General features: G+C 38.7%; 1 long non-coding RNA gene and 1 pseudogene across 1 annotated transcript in view; one reads left to right on the top strand and one right to left on the bottom strand.

Annotated features, from left to right (window-relative positions):
• On the bottom strand, positions 2,240 to 2,380 carry RNU4-79P (RNA, U4 small nuclear 79, pseudogene; annotated as a pseudogene).
• Positions 2,871 to 17,916, top strand: part of LOC105377510 (uncharacterized) — a 38,425-nt gene continuing 23,379 nt past the window's right edge. Inside the window, exons 1-2 of the long non-coding RNA XR_939403.2 lie at positions 2,871 to 2,928; positions 4,961 to 5,099. This is a non-coding gene — a long non-coding RNA (uncharacterized LOC105377510). The remainder of the gene's footprint in view (positions 2,929 to 4,960; positions 5,100 to 17,916) is intronic.

Below are 17,916 nucleotides of genomic sequence, written 5' to 3'. Positions count from 1 at the left end.
TTGCTGATAATAGAAGCATGCAGAGTGCTACTTTAGTTTGGGCCTCTGTAATAAAATATCTTAGGGCCGGGCACGGTGGCTCACGCCTGTAATCCCAGCACTTTGGGAGGCCGAGATGGGTGGGTCGCTTGAGCTCAGGAGTTCAATACCAGCTTGACCAACATGGTGAAACACTATCTCTACAAAAAATACAAAAATTAGATAAGCATGGTGGCATGCACCTGTAGTCCCAGCTACGTGGGAGGCTGTGGTAGGAGGATCCTTGAGTGAGACCCTGTCTCACACACACACACACACACACACACACACACACACAGTCTTAGTCTAGCTGTCCAAAACAATAGAAATTTATTTTCTTACAGTTCTGGAGGCTAAAAGTCCAAGATCAAAATGCCTATGGTTTGTGATGAGGGCTCTCTTCCTGCCTGTAGATGCCACCTTCTTGCTGTGTTCTTATATGGCAGGCATAGGGTAAAGTGGGATGGAGTGGAGAGCAAGCTCTCTGGGACCCTTATGAGGGCACCAATGCCGTCAGGAGAGTGGCAGTCTCATGACCTCATGTAAACCTAATTATCTTCCAGAGATCCCATCTCCAAATACGATTATATTGGTCTTTGAGGCTTCAACATGCATTTTGAGTGAACAATGTCTACAATACTGTCTCAGAATTGCCTTCTCATATGAAGTACCTTAATTCAATTAAAACAACTTTTGCCATTTCGATAAAGAATTCCAAAATTAAGATAAATTTATTTTTACTTACATTTTGAAAAATATATTTTTGCTGTCCAATTTTTATTTCAGTGAAAATATTTCCTTTTATTCTACTGCTGTTACAAATAGTGGGTTAGAGAGAAATCATTTAGACATAAGTTGCCTTTCTTTGTATTAAATTTGTTTTATGTTAAATTTTGTGCTCTGAATATCACATGGTAATGTGACTTTAATAAAAACATATTACACCAAAGATAATGCAATGTCTGAAAAATAAATCACACTGGGGAGCACCATCTAGCAATGGAGTCCAGTGACATCTAGAGCATGGACAGTGTGTGCAGTAAATGGTCAAATTATAGATTACAAGTGAGTTTGGCAAATATTTCCATAAATGTCTCTCCTCCTCATAACACCTTTATAGTTTCTAATTCTATCAGAATGTAATATGAAAGTTTATGATGGTGTCTGTTTAAGCACATGTAAGTCCTGCAGGTGCGTAATCACATATTACCCTCATAGCCACCCAGGAGCCACCATTGTAGGGATGATTACACAGGGGCACAGGAATTCTGCAATGTGCTCAACTTCACAGAGTTAATACGCAGTTGGGATGGACTGTCAGCTCAGGTGTTTGACTCTGAAGCTCACACTTTTTACTACTATATTAGAATCGATTCATTCAGATATAAATATTATTCAGGGGCAATTCTCAGATACGCAGGTAGAACTTGACCTACATTGGACCCCCTGTCATGTGAATCAATGACCCTCATTCTTAGCTATTGGCTGACTCCATCCCAACAGCCTGGACAAAGCAGCCAAAGTATTCTGTCACTGTGAGAAACTGGTTGGTTACACTGTTTCTCCGTTCAGATGAATTAGAGCTGTTCACCCCTAAGGTTAGCTGAAAATAGCAAATTGGAAACCATAAAATATCAAGTATCAAAAGGCAAACGGTTTAACTTATTCTGACTTGGAAACTGCTCTGGAACATAGCTCTAAATGACTAAAAATCTTTACTATGTTTGGATGGAAATTTTAAGGCATAAATTTAAGGCTGCTTCTAATATCTATTGCATATGTAAGAGAAAGTGGAGTTTGATTTTTCCTGTTGTCTCAGAATTGTGGCTAAAACCCAAAGCTGAGGACACAAGGCACTAAGTATTCCTAAGCCACTAATAGTTGCCAGTGCATGCTGAGTGGCATTTATCCCTACTACTACCACTAGTTACCATCTCCCCCTGTCCCCTGATTTCCTCCTGCATCCCAGGAACTTGGAGGAACAACTTTCACAATTTGTGGTTGGAGGTCCTCTCTCCTATGTCTGTCCTTGAGAAGGTGGCAGTGGTGCTTTTCCATTAATGGAGCCAAGTGAGTCAGCTTTGATAAAATGCTCATGAAGGTTGGGGGTGTCTTGAAAAAGAGGAGACTGACACCCTTTCCCTTCAAGTACTTACTTAGCTGCAGAATCTGGAGACTTAAAAAAAAATTGTCAGCTTTTTTTAAACCTGAGATAGTTAAGTCTCCATAGAGACTGTCAAAAATTGCCTATGCCAGCTATATTTCAAGTCATGATGATGGGGTATTGGAAAAAGTTTTTAATTAGCAGTAATCACGCCTCGAATAAACCTCATTGGTTATGAGACTGCCACGGTACAAAGCTAGAATCTGGAGACTTCTGTTGCTATATGTATGACATGCTTTTCTTTTCAGCTCTCTTCCCTCATAATAGAAAAGAAGAGGGAAATGCTGGCCCGTGTCTCCTGATTTTGAAGATGTGTTCATGGCAAGGTTGAAGGAGAAAAGGTGTTAAATGGAAGAGCCCTTGGAGACTGAGAGGATATTGGACACATAGGTCTAGTGTGAAACTTCACAAGTACACCCCTTATGTAGAGGCTGACACATCAGGGGAGGCCATCACAACCAGATGGAGGCAGCTTAAACTACAAGAAGAGTAGAGGCCTTTCCCAACTCTATGTCTTCCCATGGAGACAATCACATGAGGAGAGTTTTGTTGCCTCAGCTCCATCATCATCTTGTCCCCGAATCCATGGTAGCAAATGTCCCTGGGCATTTATCCAGAGGAGAGGAAATTTGTATATAAAAGAGACATCTGCACCTCCGTGTTTATTGCAGCACCACTCACAATAGCCAAGATAGGAATCAACCTAAGTGTCCATCAATAGAAGAAGAACCACATGGTGCACCATGGTATGTTATTCAGCCACAAAAAGAAAGAAATCCTGTCATTCACAGCAACATGTGTAGAACTGGGGAATATTATGCTAAGTGAAATAAGCCAGGAATAGAAAGTTAAACCCCAGTATGTTCTCACTTACATGGGGAAGCTAAAAATTAGTTGAACTCTTAGAGGTAAAAACTATAGCAGAGGATACTAGAGGCTGGGAATGGCAGAGGGACATGGGCAATGGAAAGATTTGTTAAAGAATACAAAATTAAAGGTAGATGGGGAATAAGTTCTAGTGTTCTATATAAAGCACTATAGGATGACTATAGTTAACAATAATATAGTTTTAGACAGCCAGAAGGAGGATATTGAATGTTCCCAGAGATGATAAATGTTTGAGATGATGAATATGCTAATTACCCTGATCATGATATAGTATCAAAAGGTCACTATATACTCTGTGAATATTATTTCAATTATGTGTCAATTCAAACAATGAAGTTTTTTAAAAAAGAAGGAATAAAAAGTGTCTCAGAGACAAACCACACCTTCCTCCTTCACTTCAAACACTAAAGCTTGCGTGAGGTAGGGGAAGTGGTAAGAGAGGACAAGAGTTCTGGGTCGAGTGTGACATTCAGATATTAAAAATTTAATGGCATTGGGTCTTTTTTTTGAGACAGGTTCTCTGTCACCCAGGTTGGAGTGCAGTGGCTGGATCAGATCATGACCCACTGCAGCCTCAACCTCCTGGGCCCAAGCAGTCTTCCTACCTCAGCCTCTGGGGCTACAGGTACACTGGGCTAATTTTTAATTTTTTTGTAGAGACAGGATCTTGCCATGTTGCCCAGGCTGATCTTGAACTCCTGAGCTCAACTGATCCTCTCATCTTGGCCTCACGAAGTGCTGGTATTTACAGGTGTGAGCCAATGTGCCTAGCCACATTGAGTCTTAATTATTGGAACAAAAAAGATTGTTGACATTGTTTTAGTAACTAAAAATGACTACAGAATCATCCTAAGACATTGTTAAGGCAGCAGTCACCCAGCTGGAAAAGCAAATTTGATCCAGTGTTGCTGGTGGACATAGTTGAAAGACAAAAATAATTTTGTAATTGAACTCCAACAAATTGTGACTTCTCAATTGGCAGGTATATTTATAAGCAAATTGTTTTCTCCCAGCAAATTTCCATGTCATTTTCTTTATGGGCAAATATTCAGTTGCTTTTTCTCTTATCTCAATCATGGCTCTCCAGTACAATTTTCAGTGATGATGAAAATATTCTATATATGTGCAGACCAATATAGTATCCACTATACCCATGTGGTCATTGAACACTTGAAAATGTGGAAAGAAACTGAGCTTTTAATTTAATTTTAATGTTGATTTAAATTTCAATAATATGTGGCTAGTAGCAACAGTGCTGGTCAACACTCTTGAAAAAAATTGAGAAAAAGCAAAGGTGAAGATGACGGAAAGTTCTATGTTAATAGGTGTTTTTGTATGAATTTATTCTTAAGGGCAGTACAGAAGTATTAATGTATATTAACTTGGCTAGGACTTATTTGAATACAATTTGAGGAAAATCTTTACAGTTTTAAAAATAAGTCACATGTTCAAAAACCCATTTGTTGATAGTGTTGAAAGGATGGAATGCCTAGAATTGACTCTGCAAAACACTGAGGCATAGAAAATCTTTACTCAAAGATCATTTTCCCATGGGTCATTTTTCTGGAAATATTTGCCTTGACCCTCAAGTAAGGTTAAGAGTGAATGCGTCTCCCTTAAATTTATTATGTACCTAAATATTACTGTCTTTCAGCAATTTGGCCAAAGCATGGCTAAATTATGAAGTCAAGAAAGCCAAGATGGCTGAGCCTTTCTAGTGCGTGTGAATTCTTCATAATACCCCTACCAGAATCAAGATGGATATGATGGGGTGCTCTGATCCATTGCAGATAAAAGAGAGCTATGTTCTACTCACTCCTCTTATCAACATAAACCAATAGTCTGATTCTTATTATTTATATTAAGGTAATCCATGTCCTTTTGTTACAGCAAATAGAAAAACAAACTTCTCTAAACTGATGACGTGGGGCGCTATCATGGATTAGGAGGAGCCTTTCACCCTGATTGCCTACTACTGTTAAAAAACTAAAACAGGTGTTCTTGGCTGATGGATTCCAATATTCAAATAGTGAGTATATTTATTCAGGAACTTGGCTGTACATTTTGTAGAGAACTCATTCTGGTTGGCTCAACAGGAAGCGCTAATGCTCCAAGTCAGTTATTGTCAGCAGGTATACCAACTGGCTGCTTGCAGACCAAGTTCTACCAGGAGACTGGTTGCAACAGTGTTTTTTTTTTTTCCCGGAGTTGAAATTTCACTCTTGTCATCCAGGCTGGAGTGCAATGGCGCAATCTCAGCTCATTGCAACCTCCGCCTCCTCTCTCTGTCTCTCTCTCTATATATATACATACATACATACACACACACACACACACACACATATATACACACACACATATATACACATATACACATATATACATATACACATATATATGTATATATATGTGTGTGTGTGTGTATATATATATATATATATATAAAATATATGGTAGAATGATTTATATTCCTGATTCTCCTGCCTCAGTCTCCTGAGTAGCTGGGATTACAGGTGCCTGCCACCATGCTTAGCTAATTTTGTATTTTTAGTAGAGATGGGAGTGTCACCATGTTGACCAGGCTGGCCTTGAACTCCTGACCTCAGGTGATCCACCAGCCTCGGACCCTGGTGATGGAATTATAGGTGTAAGCCACTGTGCCTGGCCCAACAGTGTTTTTATACTTTTGAATGTTTGTATGTTTTCAGTCCCTTTGGCTAAGCAGCTTCAATTTGCCATTGTTCACACCTGGCTCCATTATGCATTTAGTGACACCTGAGGGCTTTTGAGCTGGCAACCTTCTTTCTACCCAAACCACCCTCAGATTCTTTTATGGTCAAGGAAGCTCATTGAAAAGAATTTCTAATCCCAGTCATCTACATTTTGCTCTATGGGGCTCACCTTAGTAGTTATGTAGGCTTTCAAACAAATTCAAAGATTTGAGGTCAATATTGACTCTCCATCAGGCAGTTTTGGAGTCCCCAGTTAATTAGCTTCTGCCAAATGTATGGTTGAAATGAGAGCTGTTGGAGGAAAACCACATATGGGAACGTTATTATATGTTAGTCTAAGTTCTTTCTTTGTAACAAGTTAGATCACAAGATATCTACTTGAACTATGTTAGCTTTTCCTATAAAAATGTTTTTCCTGAAATGAAATTTAATATTGTGTCCTTGGCTTTATAAAGAAATGTTGGATGAAAAAAATTCGTTGATCAATGCCTTTATGTAAAGACACATGGGATATATTACTGTATCACTAGTGTAGTGCTAGAAAAAAAGACTCCTTTGAAATAGTGTGCTTCCTTTTATCAGACAATGAGAATCACCTCACCTGTAATGCTTCCTTTTTTTCCTTGGCTGTCCTGATATTAAAATTAACTCATTACTCCTTCCTTACACCATTACTCTCCTCTTTATGTGCGTTCTCATCTCTTTACCTTTAGTGTTTTGCTGCATGCATGTACATAAATTTGCTTGTAACCAATATCAATAACCTTTTGGAAGTATACAGCTTAAAAACTGCAAATAAATGATCATAAAACATAGCCATATTCACATTTGCCAAATGTGAATTTTAAAGATTCTCCAGCTCTTTTTATATCCTTTCTCTCCTTTTTAAACAAATAGAAAAAAAGTGTGGAAAAATCTAATGTTTTAAAATGCAGACTTTTTGTTCTTTCCAACTTTCATTTTAGATTCAAGGGGTATATGTGCACATTTGTTACGTGGGTAAATTACGTGTTTGGGGGTTTGGTATACAGGTAATTTTGTCACCCAAGTAATCAGCATAATGCCTGATAGGTAGTTTTTCAATCACCATCCTCCTCTCACCCTCCACCCTCAGTTAGGCTTCCATATCTATTATTCCCTTCATTGTGTCCATGTTTGAGCTGAGGTGGTGCCTTTGCACTCTAGCCTGGGTGTACTCAATGTTTAGCTCCCACTTATTAGGAAGAACATGCAGTATTTGATTTTCTGTTCCTGTGTTAATTCACTTAGGATGATGGCCTCCAGTTTCACCCATGTTGCTGCAAAGAATGTAATTTTGTTCTTTTCTGTGACTGTGTAGTATTCCATGGTGTTATCAGTGTCACATTTTCTTTCTTTTTCTTTTTCTGAGATAGAGTCTTGCTCTGTCACCCAGGCTAGAGTGCAGTAGTACCATCTCAGCTCACTGCAACCTCCACCTCCCAGGCTTCAAATGTTTCTCGTGCCTCAGCTTCCCCAGTAGCTGGGAATGTAGGCACGTACCGCCATGCCTGGCTGATTTTTCTATTCTTAGTAGAGATGGGGTTTTGTCATATTAGCCAGGCTGGTCATGAGCTCCTGACTTGAAGTGGTCCGCCCACCTTAGCCTCCCAAAATGCTTGGTTTATAGGCGTGAGCTACTCTGCCTGGCCCAACATTTTCTTTATCCAGTCCACCTGATGGGCATTTAGGTTGATTCCATGCAATTGCTATTGTGAATGGTGCTGTGATGAACATAGGTGTGCATGTGTCTTTATGGTAGAATGATTTATATTCCTTTGGGTATATACTCAGTAGTGAGATTGCTGGGTTGAATGGTAGTTCTATTTTAAGTTCTTTGAGAAATGTCCAGTGACTGAACTAATTTACATTCCCACCAGCAGTGTATAAGCACTCCCTTTTCTCCACAACCTCACCAGCATCTGTTATCTTCAGACCTTTTAATAAAAGCCCTTCTGACTAGTGTGAGATGGTATCTCATTATGGTTTTCATTTGCATTTCCCTAATGATTAGTGGTATTGAGCATAAAATATAGACTTTTTAAAGGAAATAATTAGGAGATGCACAGATCCTGAGTACCGGACATATTCTTTGAAATGGCTATTTGTAATAAGAGAAGATGGACATTTATAGCTGTGAAAACCATAACAATTTGTTAAATTGATGTATATCTATGTAATGGAATACTATTCAGCTATTTCAACTATAGTGTTAAATCTTTTGACGCACAGATAAACCTGGAACCATATATACGAAGGCATTAACGGTAATTGCCTTTGGATAATTGGAATTACATACTTTATTTTTCCTTACTTGTATTTTTTTTTGCTTTTTCTACAATAAACATGCATTGTGCTACAATAAAAGCAAATGGATTTACAATCAACAACTAGTGAGTAGTTTAAGATTTAGTCAAGAGTGTTTGAAATGGTAGGGGAACGTGCACTGTGAAGACAGCTATCTCCTACCAATCTGCCAGAGGAAAGTTGGGCCCAGAGAGGAACTTCAAAGAGCTGCCTACAGATGAGCCCTCGGTGGCCCTTATTTCTTCAGTTTAATATTCCTCTGGGTATCACATAACTCCTCTTGGTTGGTGTCTGCTAATAAGATGACAGAATCAGATAGCCACCTGCTCAGTAAAGTAGCTTTGATTTAGCAGAGGTGGAAATAAACGGATTTTTAAAAATAAATTTGATCTATTAAGTTTTATTCTTGGCTAGATGCGGTGGCTCACACCTGTAATCCCAGCAGTTTGGGAGGCCGAGGTGGGCAGATCACTTGAGGTCAGGGGTTTGAGACCAGCCTGGCCAACATGGTGAAATCCCATCTCTACTAAAAATACAAAAATTAACCAGGTGTGGTGGTGCATTCCTGTAATCCCAGCTTCTAGGGAGGCTGAGGCAGGAGAATTGCTTCAACCCGGAGTCGGAGGTTGCAGTGAACTGAGATCATACCATTACACTCCAGCCTGGGCAACAGAGTGAAACTCTGTCTCAAAAAAAATAAAATGAAATAAAATAAATAAATAAGTAAATAAATTTCATCCATTAAATTTTATTCTCAATGTTGAGAGATTTTCAGAGAGGGGATATAATATAAAATAATACCCGTAAGAGCCATCTCTTTTAAAATATGAGCATTTATGGATTTAGAACAAGAAAATTTATTAATATCTTACAAAAAAACTTGGTACCCAACACAAAGGAGGAGCAACCAAAGTTTCCCTGTAAAGGTTTGTCCTCCAATGTGATTTGGTAAAATCTTTTAATTTTTTTTTAACCTCCTCTTGATTCTTTTAAAGCATGGGAATTTCATAAAATCTCTGCTTCCAGTTCTCCATGTGACAATTTCCAGAGTAGAGTCACTTTTAAAAAACAGGCCTCTTGTCATTTTCTAGAAATGGCAGCTAATCCTGATTCGATGCTCTGGAACATTTGGGTGTTTTTTGAGACAGGTTCTTGCTCCATGGCCCAGGCTGGAGTCACAATTCACTGCAGCCTCCACCTCCTGAGCTCAAGGGATCCTCCTACCTCAGCCTACTAAGTAGCTGGGACTGCAGGCATGTGCCACCGCATCAGGCTAATTTTTTATTTTTTTGTAGAGACAGGGGTCTCACCATGTTGACCCTGCTGGTCTTGAACTCCTGGGCTCAACTGATCCTCCCACCTTGGCCTCCCAAAGTACTGGGATTACAGGCATGAGCCACTGCGCCTGGCCTGGAACATTTAAAAGGTGCCATTTACCCCACAGTCTGTTGGAAAATAAAACATTATTGGGCCTGCGGATGATGTTAGACCGATGTGTGTGGTGTGAAAATTAGGGCAGCCATTTGGAGAACTGCTCTACGCATGTGAACACTGAGGGAAATGTTCACCTTCAAACCTGTGGGGGTACCGCATGTCTGTGGGCTTATGGAGTCATAAATCAGAGAATTAAGTATAACAAAAACCTCAGCCAGAATGAATCGCTCACTGTTTTCAATATGACGATTAAAGTCTACCTTCTATGACAGTATCAATGTGCCTGATCCTCTACTAGGGAAACAAATCCTGAAGAAAGACTGTCCTATTTTGATTTTTATTTCTTATAGTACCTAGCACAGCATTTTCCACGTTGTTCATATATAATGAATGTTTACTGAATTGACTCTATTAATATTTTTCTTTATGCTAATAAGCCTGCTGACTGAAAAAATTATTGGTTCAAAATCTTAAAGAAAGTATATATAAACTTGATAGAATGACACTTTCTTGAGACAGATCCTGATAGTCTAGGTTGTAATCTCTGTGGTTGATACCCTCAGATAAATGTTGAAATTAATTATGGAAATCCCTTGTTAGTGATTGGTTTAGGAAAAGGGATATGATCCAAAACTACTCAATGAGACATAAGAAAAGTCAGTCAGTGGTTTTCAGGGAGGGAGAGTATTTCATGTTCTTATGAAGGAAGTATACTGAGATGTTTCACTTTATTCTCTGGACATTATAACATCTAGACGTGATACTTGGAACTCCTGCAGTATTTGGGGCCGTGAGGAACCAGCCTGAGGGCAAAGACAACACAATGAAGATAGCAGAGAGGTGAAAATAATGTAGGTCTTTGATAACTTTATTATTATTTTTTGGAGAAAAGATCTCGCCCTGTCACCCAGGGTGGAGTGCAGTGCTGTGATCATGGCTCACTGCAACCTGTAACTCCTGGGCTCAAGGGATACTCCTGCTTTAGCCTGAGTAGGTGGAACTACAGGCAAGCACCACCATACCCAGCTAATTTTTTAATTTTTTGTAGAGACGGGGACTCGCTATGTTGCCCCCAGGCTGGTCTCAAACTCTTGGCCTCCAGTGATCTTCCTGCCTTGGTCTCCCAAAGTGCTGGGATTACAGGCATGGGGCACTGTACCCAGCCTGTTGACTTTATTGAGTCACTACATCAAACATCCCTGTGGGCTGTGCTTCCTCAGATTTCTTATGTGACATCAGATATTTCCTATCGTTTAAGCTGATTTGTAGACATTTTTGGTTATCTGCAGTTAAAATGCATTTCACTGAAACAACCTCCACTGTCATCTCAAATAATTAGGAGAAAATATATGTTCTCCTCTGTGTTCTAGATATATAAAGGGACAAATATCAAAAGGCTTTACCTTTGAGAGCCTGTAGGTGAAAAAATAATGTCCCTTTAAAAGAAATGTGGCAGTTTATTGAAAAGGCCCAGGTGTGGCTGGAAACGATCCATTTGTTATTTCAACCCAGATGCTTCTGTCAGTTTCTTCACCCTGGATGCTGGAGTATAGAAAGAAAGGACTTTCGGCTAAATCTGGAGGGAGGGACTGGTGAGGCAAGTTAAATGGAAAAGAAGGTGGACCAAGAAACTGACCATACAGGTGAAAAAATGGTAGCGGTAGATGCCCATGCTGGGAAAGAAAGTGAATCCAGAGGAGGCCAGATGGGCTGAAGAACTGGCAATGGCTAAGCCTTCGGGGATTTGGATGGATGATTATGATGATGATGAGTAGCAATCATGGTAAAAAGGAGTGGAATTGATGGAAGCAGAGCAAATTATGGTCAGGATGGAGGATTCTGGAGTCTTGAAATATAAGTTCAAAAATACTATGGCTATAATATTTATTTGTATTAATTTATGTAACAAATATTTATGCTTATTTACTATTAGAGCTTATAGGATGCATTCTGTCATCATAAGTAGTTAGGACTACCTTCAGTGGTTAAATCAGAGACCAGTGGTCAGCAAACTATTAGAAAATTTTCTTTGTGCAACACAATTGTGATTCTAAAAAATAACTTTTCAAAAAGATATTCTAATCCAAACTTACCTTGGTTCCTCCTCTAATTCCAAAAGGAAATTTCTCATATCCTCTTTGTCTAGGGGTCTTAATTTTTAATGTAATGGAGTCTTCAGTGCCTCAGGCCAAAAATAAAAATCCTCAATTGGTTAGATTTTATATGTCTGATATGGGAAACGTATATTCATATCTTTCCATTTTTTTACCCTTGTTCCCAAGGCACTCAAACTGATCTCAATGTCCCAAACATGTTTAGTTTAACAAAGAAACCTTGATGCAACTGGTCAAGGGACTGCTAACTGGTATAAGGATACAAAATATAAGTCAGGACTAATTCTGACCCCAGGACTTATTGTCTAGTGTGTGTGTGTGTGTGTGTGTGTGTGTGTGTGTGTGTGTGTGTGTGTGTCTGTGTGTGTGTGTGTGTGTGTGTGTATATACATATATATATGTATACATACATATACATGTATATATATATATATACACATATATATATGTATACATACATATACATGTGTATATATATATATATATATACACACGAGACAGAGTCTCCCTCTGTTGCCCAGGCAGTGGCGTGATCTCTTGGCTTACTGCAACCTCTGCCTCTTAGGTTCAAGCGATTCTCCTGCCTCAGCCTCCCAAGTAGCTGGGATTACAGGCGTCCGCAACCATGCCCAGCCCTAGTACATGTATTGATTATACAGCTCCACATCTCTTATGTAGATTATTACAAAAAAACTTCAAATATGTTGTAGCAATGCAAAGTGTATGCATGAGGGTGTGTTTGAGGTCTCAGCTAGAAAGACAAAGTAATGATAGGTTTTAAAATGTGCAAGTACTGGAAGGTTGTATTAGAGTTATGTTGCTGCTGTTGTTAATAAAACTTAAAATAATATTTGACTCAGTAGCTTTTCTACAGAAGTGGTATTTAAGGTTACATTTATTTTTACCCAGCTCATTCTTACGAACTTCTGACTTAACGTGTATGTTAATAATAGAATTTCAACTTCCACAGCAATTTAGAAATACAGTTGTTCCTCAGTAGCCTTGGATACCAAATCTGAGGATGTTCAAGTCCCTGATATAAAATGGTGTAATATTTGTAAATATTCTTCCGTATACTTTAAATCACCTCTAGATTACTTATTATACCTAACAATTACCTACATATCATTTTATTCATGTGGATTCAACATAGTACTTGGCATGTGGCAAATTTAAGTTTTGCTCTTTTGGAACTTTGTATAATTTTTTTTCCCATGTATTTCAACAATTGGTTGAATCCATGGATGTGGAACCCATGGATATGTAGGGCTGACTGTATTCTAAATTAGTGATGATAAGAAATACATCAAATACAAAATTAAAAAAAAACAATATAAATCTCATGCATTTTACATTTTTTGTTTGTAACTGTCTATTCCAGGTGTCCCCAGAGTATTCTCTGATCTTTTCCTTTGCAGATTTTGCAAGCCAACCACTACATAGCAACAGTGATTTCAAAGGTGTTGGCAAAAGCTTTGACTTACGCAAGGGTTTTCTCTCTCAGCAAGGTGATACCAGAAATTCTCTTAACTGCACTTCCTTTATCTCTTTCTCTATATAAATAAATCATACTCATGTTTCTAAATCAGTTCTAATGTTACTTCCTCATAGACTTTCTTAATTCCCTTCCAGCAAAAGTAACCTTTCTCTACAATGCAGAGAAGCTATATCTGCATTCTCAATGATACTGCCCCTACAGGGGTGAAAATTGATTCTTGTCTCACGGAGGGTGAAAAATCTTAGATATTACAATGGTTTGTGACCCTCCAATACTGAATCTTATTACTAAGTATATCATTTCATGGGGTAGAAGGCTGTTAGGAATAAAATTTCTAAAAGTGCTTCTTGGAGGAGTGATAATTAAAAAAAGCTTGAGAAATACTTCTCCCCATTTAAAAGTATGTAATATATTATCTGTGCTTTCCCCTCATCACCTCAACCTATATATCTCCAGTAGGCTTGGAATGTTTTGTGTTTTTGTGTATATAACATTCCTGAGTTCATTGTTTATGATAAAGTCAATAAGCTCCTTCAAGGCAGAGGCCAAGGCTTATTTATGGTTATATTTCTTATGTTCAGTTCATGATATGGTCTCAAAAAATTGTTTATTGACCTAAATATTAATCCTGTATCTTACAGTCCTCAGTGTCTGGCTGTTCATGGTTATAGGTTCCTTTGGGAAAGGACTAGAGGAATTATGACCATGTATCTTTGCTGTGCTGCTGCAGAATCTTTTCTTATGGGGATTTAGTCTCTTTTCCAGGCAGCGAGTTCTGGATATGAAAATTGGCTCAGGTTCTAAAATTGGGCAATGAATTATGACTTTTAATTGGGAAAGCTTCCCGAAGCTTCCCGATTGTCCATCCTTGATTGTAATAGTATAAATCCGTGTTATCCAATGTGGTAGCCACATACGGCTTTTAAAATTCAATTGAGTTAAAATGAAATGAACAATTCTGTTTCTTAGTTCTATTAGCCATGTTTCAAAGATCACTCATTTCCAGGACCTCTCCATTAAATTGCTATCAAAAAGTGAAACCTTGAGCTTGCAAAGCTATGAGTTTTTCCTGTTCAGCCTCAACTAATTTCACAACTTTTAGATGGCAAAGACAGTTTTCCACCTCTGCCCCAAATTGAGTCCATACCTCTGACAATGAAGCTGCTGTTTTTCAGCCTGAGCTGCCCTGGGTGAGTCTCCTGCCACCACCTGCTGCTGACTTACTCCTCTGCTCTAGCAGTTGGTCAAGTATAAATACTTTTAAATTTATTGTCTGCCTTTGGCAATTTTCAATACCTTAAATTAATTGTTTTGACATTTTTTCCTGTTTTATATTATTCTTTGGGGGAGGGAAGTCACTGACCTCTTCATGCCCCCTAAATCAGAGGTCCTTCCAAGGATGTTATGTTTTTCATTGAAACAGCTATTAACATTTCATTAATTCTCAGTAAACATTGGTTAATAATTTCATTCGAGTATTAATAAAGTTTCTATTAAGCATATAAAATGAAATTATGTCACTTCTCTGGCAAAACCTTTTAGAACCTAATCTGAGCAAAATGCTCTGTCCTTTCAGCCGTCTACCAGGCCCACCTGACCCGCGCCACCCCCCTACTCCGCTGCTCTCTGACCATCTTTCCTATTCTAGGGCCATTACTCCTGCTCCAGCCTTACTGATCTTTTTGCTATTTCTCTAAATTCAGGGCTCACAACTCCCCTCAGAATCTTTTCACTCATTGCTCCTTCTGCCTGGAACTTTCTTCCCTACATGGCTCACCCTCTATCTTCTCAGCAGTGACTCTTTCCCTGACTACATTACATAAAAGATCAATGACCCCCTTCCTGGCCTGCCTTACCTTGTTTCTCCATAGCACCTGTTACATCTGCAGAATATGTATTCTTGGATTGTCTCCCCCACTTTAATGCAGTTTCTTGAGGGAAATTTTTGCTCCTGCTGTATCCTGATACCTAGAACATGCCTGGTATGTCCTAGATTTTCAATATATATTTATTGAATTAATTGAAGGAATTAATATGCATTGTTTTCACCAAGGCAAACAGAAATACAACAAAATTGTTAAGAGTGAGCCATACAGGAAAAGATAATACTGAGCCCCTATCTTCCTTCCCCACAAGCTCTCCTCAGGTAAACATGTTTATGTTGGGAGTACTGGTCATATTTATAGGATTTGTCCCCTGTCACTCAACATCCATTATGGATGTGGATTGTCATGGTAATGGGAAGAGAGAGAAGTGAACTTGCAGAAGATAGTGAAAGATTGTATCATGAGGAAAGTTGTCTTGCATACATAAACCTTAGGAAATTCTTACTCCTTTACCTTGAACTTGAGACACCCTCATTGCCTACTGTCACATGCTGCGAAGTCAATAAATACTCCCAATATTCTGCAATCCGTAGTAGCCTCTGCCTAATTATCTGAAGGTTCCAGAGAGGCCATGGTTCCTGAGAAGAAAGTTTTGGTAATAATAGTAATAATACTGTTAATAATTAATTGTTAATTATTAACAAGGCAATTAATAATATTAGTAGCTAAAATTTGTTTGAACTTACTATCTGCCAGTCACTCTCAGCTTTTTTCATGCATTATCTTATTTAACCCTTCTAACAGTGCAATGATTTAATTGCTATTATCTTGCCTGTTTTTATTTTTTTTTGTTTTTTAGACAGGGTCTTCTTTGTTGCCCAGGCTGAAGTGCAGTAGTGTGATCATAGCTCACTGCAGCCTCAAACTCCTGGGCTGAGGCGATCCTCCCACCTCAGCCTCCTGAGTAGCTGGGACTACAGGCATGTGCCACCATGCACGGCTAATTTTTACTTTTTTTTTTTTTTTCATAAACATAGGGTCTCTTCATGTTGACCAGGTGGTCTCAACTATTGGCCTCAAGTGATCTTCCCACCTTGGCCTCCCAAATTGCTGGGAGTATAGACATAAGCCACTGTACCAGGCCTGTTTTCTGTATAAAGAAATTGAAGCAAAGAGTAGTTATTTAATTGGTACCAGACCATAAAAGTTAAGGTCCAAAATGAGTGGCACAAGAATTTAATGCCACTGAACACAGAGGAAAGTATCTGAACAATAATATCATTAATTTCTCTGTCGCTGTCCCAGGTGAACTTGCTGATTCCTATAGTAAAGCCATGCAGCTATGATCCAGAGCCTCAGAGAATCCCTTTAAAACAATGGCTCTCGCAGGGGCTGTTTTGCCTCCCAAGGGACATTTTGATCATCATACTTGTTGGGGTGGTGGTGCTACTGATGTCTAGTGGGTAGAGGCCAGGGATGCTGCTAAACCTTTTATAGTGCATAGGACAGCAGCCCAAGACAAAGAAACATCTGGCCCATAACATCAGTAGTGCTGAGGCTGAGAAATCCTGCTCTAGACTCTCTTGTTCTTCATTAGGAATCTACATTATCTGCTTTAGCATCTCTAGATTCTGTCCCTTTTCTTGCTTTCTCTGTGCACAGCCTTCAGATTGCTGTTTTAGTTGGACTATTGACTGGATTTATTATGTCTTTGTAAAGGTTTGAATGCTTTTGGCAGCAGGTAACAAAAATGGCAGTTCAAATGAGCTTAATAAGAAAACTTATTATCATTCCCAGGAGCCTATAGGTAGGGTAGGAATGGAGAGGACTATGACCTGTGATCATACTGAAGGAACTTTTGCTCCTGCTGTATCCTGATACCTAGAACATGCCTGGTACATCCTAGACTTTCAATGTTTATTTACTGAATTAACTGAACAAATAAATATGCATTATACTTAGCAAGGTGAAGAGGAATACAACAGATCTGAAAGAGTGAGCCATACAGGAGAAGATAAGACTGAGCTCCTATCCCCCTTCCCCATAACCCCTGATCATATTCCTCTCCATTCCTACCCTACCTATAGGCTCCTGGGAATATATGACAATAAATAAGATTTATTTTTCTTTGTAATTAATTTTTCTTTGCCCTTCTCCATTGTCAGATTGGTCCCTAGGTTGGTTTCCTTCATGACTGCAAGATACAACCAGCAGCAAATGGGGGAACCACTATCATTGTTTATATACAGTAGCAGAAAAAGATAAAATTCTCCCCCTTTTCCCAAACCATGGTATATGCCCCCTTCTTCATTCTGATTGGGCCTAGTGCATATCCAAACTTAGATCAATCATAGTTGGAGTGGAATGCCATATGCAGATTGGCTTACTCTTCAGGACCTACCAATAGAGTTCAGAATAGTGTGGGTGATTAAAATGAGGGTTAGAAAAGCAAAAGGGGAAAATGAATGTTGGATAGGACACAAACTGAATCTACCATACCCCAGCTACTGTCTTGAAGATTGTTTTTTTGTTCCATTCTCTGCTGTTAATGGGCCAGTCCCATCCCTCCCTCACTGTTTCCACTCCTGGCTCCTGGAATCACAACCTGACAATATCATCTCATTTTCCAACAAACCCAGAAGAAATTGCTGGGGATGAAATAATAAAACTCTCGGAGGATTTGAGAATTGAGCTGGGACTTGAAATGTGTCAGAAATTTAGATGGGCAACTTTTGTTTCCAATGCAATAGATTTCAAAACATAAAATGATTATAAAGAGAACTGAGATTTCTAAGAATCCTGGCATAGTACATAAAACGCTTTAAGAGGAAAGAAAATATTTCTATTTTTCCTTATAAAACTGGGCAATAGATTTATTATAGAAATGACTTAATAGTTTAAAAGGCTGTATCAAATT

This window comes from Homo sapiens, chromosome 4 (assembly GCF_000001405.40).
Source record: "Homo sapiens chromosome 4, GRCh38.p14 Primary Assembly".
Taxonomy (NCBI): Eukaryota; Metazoa; Chordata; class Mammalia; order Primates; family Hominidae; genus Homo; species Homo sapiens.
This window is presented reverse-complemented; position numbering and strand designations above follow the sequence as displayed.